General features: G+C 38.9%; 2 annotated features.

Annotated features, from left to right (window-relative positions):
* Positions 1,433–1,532: an enhancer, noted in NCBI's record as "active region_2278". NCBI's record gives its function as "activates an Ori minimal core promoter by ATAC-STARR-seq in GM12878 lymphoblastoid cells {active_cell/tissue: GM12878}" and the evidence as "EXISTENCE:reporter gene assay evidence [ECO:0000049][PMID:35858748]".
* Positions 1,623–1,682: an enhancer, noted in NCBI's record as "active region_2277". NCBI's record gives its function as "activates an Ori minimal core promoter by ATAC-STARR-seq in GM12878 lymphoblastoid cells {active_cell/tissue: GM12878}" and the evidence as "EXISTENCE:reporter gene assay evidence [ECO:0000049][PMID:35858748]".

Below are 8,615 nucleotides of genomic sequence, written 5' to 3'. Positions count from 1 at the left end.
TTGACCTAATCACCCCCCAAAGGCCCCAACTCCTAATACCTTCAAATTGGGGGTTATGATTTCAACACATGACCCAAACATTCAGCCCATAACAATAACACTTATATTTAATCCTATAATCATAACCAAACCTTCTATGCTTTGTCTATAAATTAATTCTAGAAGTAAAAATAGTCATTTAAATTTAAACTATGATTTAACCATGTAAATCCCATTTATTTCGAATTCAACTAGTGTAGCATAACTATATTATATACCTTTTATGTTTATGCTGGAGTGTCTTATTACCCTTGTTTACTTTTTGCACTACCAGCATTTATTTCACTGTTATGATCAGCCAACACCTTAAGTCTAGGAATATGATCAAATCTCTGGGTTCCATATTTTTTCCTAGGAACTTTTCAAAGTTTTCTGTCCTCTGGTTCCAATTAGGACTAATTGTCATTTAAGACACAGCTGTTTTTCAGATTTTCCTATATCACTTTTAATTGTTATAATCACTAATTCTTGTATTCCTTGGCCCCACCTTTTTTGTTTAATTCCTTTATTTTTAAGAGGACATACACAAATAATTTCCTAAGAAAGGTAATGTGCGACATAATTTTCTAAATGATTACATGTCTGAAAATATGTTTTTATTTTGCCCTTAGAATTGATTTTTTTTCTGGATACAGAAATGTAGATGGTAAATAATTTTCCTTCATAATTGTGAAGGCATTATTCAATTATCTTTTAGCATCTGTTGTTTGACATCTTGTCATTTTCATTCTCTTGAATGTAACTTTTTTTCCTATAATAATAATTCTGTGAAATAGTTTTTTTTGGTTTTGTTTTGTTTTTTGAGACAGTCTCTCTCTGTCGCCCCGGCTGGAGCGCAGTAGCGTGATCTCGGCTCACTGCAAGCTCCGCCTCCCTGGTTCACGCCATTCTTCCACCTCAGCCTCCGGAGTAGCCGGGACTACAGGTGACCGCCGCCGGCTAATTTTTTGTTTTTGTATTTTTAGTAGAGACGGGGTTTCGCCGTGTTAGCCAGGATGGTCTCGATCTCTTGACCTTGTGATCCGCCTGCCTCGGCCTCCCAAAGTGCTGGGATTACAGGCGTGAGCCACCGCGCCCGGCGGAAATAAGTATTCCTTTTTTTGTGTTTTGTTTTTGTTTTTGAGACTGAGTCTCGCTTTGTCGCCCAGGCTGGAGTGCAGTGGCGCAATCTCGGCTCACTGCAAGCTCCGCCTCCCAGGTTCACGCCATTTTCCTGCCTCCCGAGTAGCTGGGACTACAGGCTCCTGCCACCCCACTCGGCTAATTTTTTGTATTTTTAGTAGAGATGGGGTTTCACCGTGTTAGCCAGGATGGTCTCGATCTCCTGACCTCGTGATCCGCCTGCCTTGGCCTCCAACACTGCTGGGATTACAGGTGTGAGCCACCACGCTCGGCCCGAAATATGTATTCTTATGTCCCTAATTTATAAATGAGAAAAGTAAAAGCAGGAAAAGGAACTTACCTAAGATTGTACAAACAGAAAAGCAAAAGCAAGAATTCAAACCCACGCAGGCTGGCTCTAGAGACTGCACTCCTAACCACAACAGTGTGCTGCTTTTCATATATCATACAGTCTAGAAGTTACTGTTGGTTCAAACCTGCGTGAGAACATTGAGAGGAGAGAGAGCATAGTATGTTTCCAGAACTGCAACGGGAAGAATTCCAGTATTTCTGCAGAGACAGATGTCAGGAGACAAGGCACTGGGCACAGGGTGGAGTGGTTTAAAAAGCATAGGACGTATTTTGAACAGCATCATAAGGCCAAAGGGAAGCCACTGAATGGTTTTAGGCAGGAGACTTATGTGGTATGATTGGTAAATAATAGTAATAATACCTCATATCAAAATTATCCTTGACCTCTGGGTTGCCAAGTCTAACAGATACTTTTCTGTCCTGTTTACTCAACCTATTAGCAGCACTTCCTCTTTCTTAAAACACTGTCATTTCTTGGCTTCTACAATACCTCATTCTCCTGGTTTTTCTCCTACTTCCCTGATAATTCCTGCTTAGTTTACTTTGCTGGCTCCTCCTCCGTTACTCAGTCTATAAATGTAGCCATTCCTTAGACTCATTCCTGTGTCCATTTCTCTACCTATATTATCTCCTTTTTCCATTTTTATGCTAGAAATATCATCCTGCTGAATCTCAAGTTTATTTCATTATCCTAAACTCCTTCGCTAAGCTCCAGATTTATTTTATTTTTTATTTTATTTATTTATTTATTTATTTATTTATTTATTTATTATTTTGTATTTTTTTTGAGACAGAGTCTTGCTCTGTCGCCCAGGCTGGAGTGCAGGGGCGTGATCTCGGCTCACTGCAAGCTCCGCCTCCTGGGTTCATGCCATTCTCCTGCCTCAGCCTCCCGAGTAGCTGGGACTACAGGCGCCCACCCCCACGCTGGCTAATTTTTTGTATTTTTAGTAGAGACAGGGTTTCACTGTTAGCCAGGATGGTTTCGATCTCCTGACCTCGTGATCCGCCCGCCTCAGCCTCCCAAAGTGCTGGGATTACAAGCGTGAGCCACCGCACCCGGCCCGCTCCAGATTTATTTATACAAGTGCCTACTTACAAATTTCTACTTGAATGTATTGGAGGCATCTCAAAATTAACATACTCAAAATGAAATTTCTGATTGCTTTCTTTAACTCATTTCTTTCCCCACCATCCATAATTCTCTATTATTCTCTTTTCTTCACTTTCTGCATCTTATCCATCAGCAAGTCTTGTCAATTAAACCTACAAGATATTTCTAGAATTCATCCACCTCTCATCACTGCTATTACCTCAGCCCAAGCCTCCATCACCTCTCTTAGGCACTACCGCTAAAGCCTCCTCATTAGTCTCTCTGATTCCACTAGTGCTCCCCTACAATCCATTTTCCACACAACAGTCAGGGAAACCTTGGAAAGTGTGAGTCTTTGTATGTGACTTCCTTACCCCCAAGACTGTTTAATAGCTTTCCTTTTCATTTGGAATAAAATTTAAACTCCTTTCCAGGGACCACTAGGTCTTTCAGGTCATACAACTAATACTTAAAAGAGCTAAATTTCATATTTTTAAAAGATGACTTTGGCTAATTAGAAAAAAAAAAATAGGTTGAAAGTAGCCAAGAGTGGATACAAGGAGACCAGTAAGGAAGACTTAGCAACAATCCAGGCTACATGTGATGGCAGCCTGAACTAGAGCATTTACAGCATTAACAGTGAGAATGGAGAGAGAAAATGGACAGATTGAGATATAGTTTTTTAATGATATAAATGTAACACCCTGAAAAAACACAATAAAAGATTAAAGAAAATTATAGAACAGTGACCTGACACATTGTTGTTCTGAGTTTGAGGTACGTGTGAGCTCTCCAAGTTGCTATCAAGTAACCAGTTGAATATACAGTCTGAATATTGTCAAAATACAAAATTACAACAAATTTAGCTTAAAGATCTAATTGACTTTTATTCATGATTCTTCTGATGAGCTGAGCGGAGGCGATTGGGCTTTACTGTAGAGAAAAGAAAGAGATCAGACTGTTACTGTGTCTATGTAGAAAGGGAAGACATAAGAAACTCCATTTTGACCTGTACCCTGAACAAGTGCTTTGCCCTGAGATGCTGTTAATCTGTAACTTTGCCCCAACCTTGAGCTCACAGAAACATGTGTTGTATGGAATCAAGGTTTAAGGGATCTAGGGCTGTGCAAGATGTGCCTTGTTAACAAAATGTTTACAGGCAGTATGCTTGGTAAAAGTCATCGCCATTCTCCAGTCTCGATAAACCAGGGGCACAATGCACTGCAGAAAGCCGCAGGGACCTCTGCCCAGGAAAGCTGGGTATTGTCCAAGGTTTCTCCCCATGTGATAGTCTGAAATATGGCCTCGTGGGATGGGAAAGACCTGACCGTCCCCCAGCCCGTCACCCGTGAAGGGTCTGTGCTGAGGAGGATTAGTAAAAGAGGAAGGCCTCTTGCAGTTGAGATAGAGGAAGGCCACTGTCTCCTGTCTGCTCCTGGGAACTGAATGTCTCGGTATAAAACCCAATTGTACATTTGTTCAATTCTGAGATAGGAGAAAAGCCTCCGTGTGGCGGGAGGCGAGACATGTTGGCAGCAATGCTGCTCTGTTACTCTTTACTCCACTGAGATGTTTGGGTGGAAAAAAGCATAAATCTGGCCTACATGCACATCCAGGCATAGTACCTTCCCTTGAACTTATTTGTGGCACAGATTCCTTTGCTCATGTGTTTTCTTGTTGACCTCCTCCCCATTATCACCCTGCTCTCCTGCCTCATTCCTCTTGCTGAGACAGTGAAAATAGTAGTTAATAAATACTGAGGGAACTCAGAGACTGGTGCCAGTGCAGGTCCTCCGAATGCTGAGCGCCGGTCCCCTGCGCCCACTTTTCTTTCTCTATACTTTGTCTCTGTGTCTTATTTCTTTTCTCAGTCTCTTGTCCTGCCTGATGAGAAATACCCACAGGTGTGGAGGGGCTGGCCCCCTTCACTTTACAGGCAGGAAAGAGCTGAAAAAGCAGAAATGGAACAAAACGCGGATTGGCTGGTTCAAAGTTACTTTCCTTGTAAAGGTTAAAGCAGAAGGGACTTCCTTATCATGCCAGCTGAAACTGATCTGTTAGGAGACTTGGCCATTATCTCTCTCCTGATTTCTTAGAAGGTCAGATAACTTAGTTTCATCTTGGGATCTGGAATTTCAGAATTAGTGACTCCATTTTGCCATTTTGGTTTGACCAGTTGGGCCTAGTGCAGAAGCTCAGTCCCAACCAATGACCTCGTGTAAATTTCGTTTAACAACATAGAGGTGATACTGATTTTAAAACGTAGGTGTAAAGATGGTAAATAAAGCCAGGAGAGTGGATAACATTGCTAAGGGAAGGAGAGAAGCAGGAATAGGACAATGCCATTGAAGAATGCCAACATTTTAGAGCAAGGTTTATTTTTCTGATTCACTTTAATATTTTTCCATGTACACAGAATATCCTAATTGTTATAATCTTTGCCAGTTTAAAAGGAAAAAAAAGGATCATGATTGTTTTCATTCATACTTCTTTGATTGCTTGTAAAATTGTATATTGTTTATCAATAATTAATATACATTTTCACCATAGAATCATCTGTTCCAGTCCTGCTTTTTAAATTGTTCTATAAGATTTTTATGAGCTAAGAGGAAAAAATGCATAAGTATCCTGATAAAGATAAATTCAACCTCAGATAAATAATATTTTTATTTAGTTACCAATCTGAAAGGTAACACATTCTACTGATGAGACAAATATGAAATGGTAAGTGTGATGAATGTGAAATGTAAAATTACACATTTCCAAAGGACAGTGGAACCATTTCTGAAACTTCCTGATCATGTCTATTAATGGAAAAGGCAGCTGTACTTTTGTGAAATGAGGAAATTTGACTAAATAAGCAATCTAAGAATGCTTGTAACTCTGAAACCTTGTGATTCATTCACAACATAATGTGATCACATCACCACATACAATCATACACTTTATAATAAGAAATGACCTTGGAGATACTGTATCCATTCATTATATTTCAAATACATATCTTGCAGTGTTTTGTTTTCTGTACATTAGGAATAATTGTATTTGGTATTGTGTATAATGAAATACTTCATATTGCCGAACAAATAATGGTCACCTGATTAAATATTAAATAAACGCTCCCCCAACATAACTTATTTTTTGAATAAGGAAAAAAGGCAGAACTAGAAAGGTAAGCTACTTTTACAAGATCACTCAGATAACTGAAGGACTTGTAAGTTCATGAATATAACCACTAGTTCAGTCTGAAAATACGAGAGTAGTTTTGAGCAAAACACTCAGTCACAGTGACCTTCTAAGAGCAGCTACACAATATTGTGAAATAGCACAATAATGTATTTTTTTCTTTTTTTGTCCTTTTTTGTATGGTAATTTTCTCCCACATTTAACCACACACTAACTTTGCCTCAGGGTAGATTAAAGGTGAAAATAAGTAACCCTCAATATTCAGTCTTTCCATTTAAAAATATGTCTTTGCAGTCTGTATCAGGAACAATAAATGGAAAGTCCAGGTTTTTCAATTCAAGAGCAAGGTAATTTAGACCACAGAGTGAATCAAATCTTGAAAGGGGAGCTACGCACTGCCTTACAAGAGGGAAACGTCCTTCCTGGGTTGGAAATGGGAGCCTGGAGATAAAGTGGAGATAAAGGGGGAAAAAAAAGGGAGATAGAGGGAAGAGGATGGCAGGTGGAGTGTTCGTGAGGATCAGGGATTCTGAACTGCCTTTTGCCCCACTGTTGTAAATGCTAAGAGGGGGTACTATCAGAGACCACTGGATAGATTTTGTGTCTTAGAGCACAGGGGCTTGTTCTTACCTCCTGTCTGGAGCCCTGGGAAGAGAACCTCAAAGTGTTTTGTGCTAGCGTGGGACAGACCAGTAAAGTGTGAACAGCAGTATGGCAGGCCTGGGAGGAGAGAAGGTGTGGAGACTGCCATGCATACAGCATCTCCCACACTTCCCACACCTGCCACAAGCCACCCTGCCCCAACTCCAACACTTGGGGAACTAGAAAGTGAAGAGAGGATCAGTGGAGAAAGAAGCCTAGGATCTGGAGAAAGGGGTAGGGTTGCCATGTAAAATACAGGCTGACTAGTTAAATATGAATTTTAGTTAAAGAACAATTTTTAAAATATGAGTATTATATAAGACATACTTATATTAAAATATTTTTTATTGTTTATTTGAAATTCAATTTTTTTTTTTGAGACAGAGTCTCACTCTGTCATCCAGGCTGGACAGTGTGTGATCTTGGCTCACTGCAATCTCTGCCTCCTGGGTTCAAGCGATTCTAGTGCCTCAGCCTCCCGAGTAGCTGGGATTACAAATGTGCACCATTTGTGATGAGCCTGGCTAATTTTTGTATTTTTAGTAGAGACGGGGTTTCACCATGTTGGCCAGGATGGTCTTGAACACCTTGCCTCAAATGATCCTCCCACCTCGGCCTCCCAAAGTGCTAGGATTACAGATGTGAGCTACCGTGTTCGGCCTGAAAGTCAAATTTAATTGGGCATTTATTTTTTAAATTGCTAAATCTGGCAACTGGAATGTAAAACTATTCACTGGGATGAGATATTGTTATCGCTCTTTTTAGAGCTAGGAGATACCTGAACATTGGTGGTTGGAAAAAATTACCATGTTTATACTAGATTAGGCAACAGATCATGTTTTGAATTAAAATTCTTGCTCACCAGTAAATTTATTATTTACCTACTCTGTGTTTTAAAGTTCTAATTTCTATAATTATGTTTCTGTCCGTAGTGACATTAAGAGTCCATGTTTTATAAAATGACAAGAGTGATATTGAGATATAAGTTCATATTTAGCAGTAGAAAAAAAAGAGAACTACTTAACTTCACCGATTGACCTTTCTAAATTATAAAACATAAAATCGTCTTAACAATATTTTATGAGGCTTGGACTCCTAACTGGGCTAGTTACTAATTACCAGAAAATGCCTGACCTAGGGGTCACTGTTATTATTGAAAGCAGCTCAAAATTCATAACAAAATATTACATAATCAGTGTTTTATGTGTTGAAATGTGAAATGTTGAATGGTCATTTGCCAGCAGATTCTGTGCTGCTTGTAGTTCTCATCATTTTTTTTTGTAAGTAGTTTAAAGAGTAACCAATTAGAAAGCTTACTGGAATAACCAATTGGGAAGCAAGGTTTAATTCTCAACATTCCATTAGGTTTATAATATACAATAAACTTGAAGGCTACCACTTTTCACTAGGCCTGCCAATTAGCTTGTCTACATCCAGGTTGGAATCCCAGCCAAGAATTGTGCACTAAAATAAGTTGAAATGGGCTCCATTTAATCCATAATTTCTTTAGTCCAGATCACACCACTGTTATGAGTAAAGAATGAGAAAGGGTTTTTTTTGTTTGTTTTGTTTTGTTTTGTTTAGCAATGACCAGTCCCATGCCTTACACTATGAGGAATTTGACAGTGACAAGTGAGCTCTGATGTCTCTGTGATTTCTTTGGTTGAGTGCCAGCATCCAAAGTCTCTGGTATTTAAAGCTCATCCTGCTTGAGCCTCCTGCATTTTGTACTCTCAGTGAAGATTTGCAAAAAACTTTTACTCAGAACTACTTGAATACAGGGCATAATTTATTATTTGGAGAGTTCAGTTTATTCTCAAAAAAATATTTAGGTGATGGAAACATTTACCTTTCTACATTTCCTTGAATCTACTACCACTCATTGTAAGACACCAGGGATTTTTAGACAGCATTTGGTGACAAAACAACAAGACAATATTAATTCTATATAAAATATATGCTGTATTTAATATGTGATTCATAAACACTATTAAATGCATATACTAATTATACATTTATTCTAATTTCATCGAGTTAAGTTTATCCATTCAGCTTGTATTAATTAAGTCCCTACTTTTGCCAAATACTGTTTTAAGTGCTGTTTCAACAAGTTGGATAAGGAGCTTACATTCTTGCAAATAGATGTATCTTAGATGTGCCTTAGATGTGTTTTAGAATCGAA

Source organism: Homo sapiens, chromosome 1, assembly GCF_000001405.40.
Source record: "Homo sapiens chromosome 1, GRCh38.p14 Primary Assembly".
Classification (NCBI taxonomy): Eukaryota; Metazoa; Chordata; class Mammalia; order Primates; family Hominidae; genus Homo; species Homo sapiens.
Note: the sequence above shows the minus strand (reverse complement) of the source record. Positions and strands in the feature narration are given on the sequence as shown.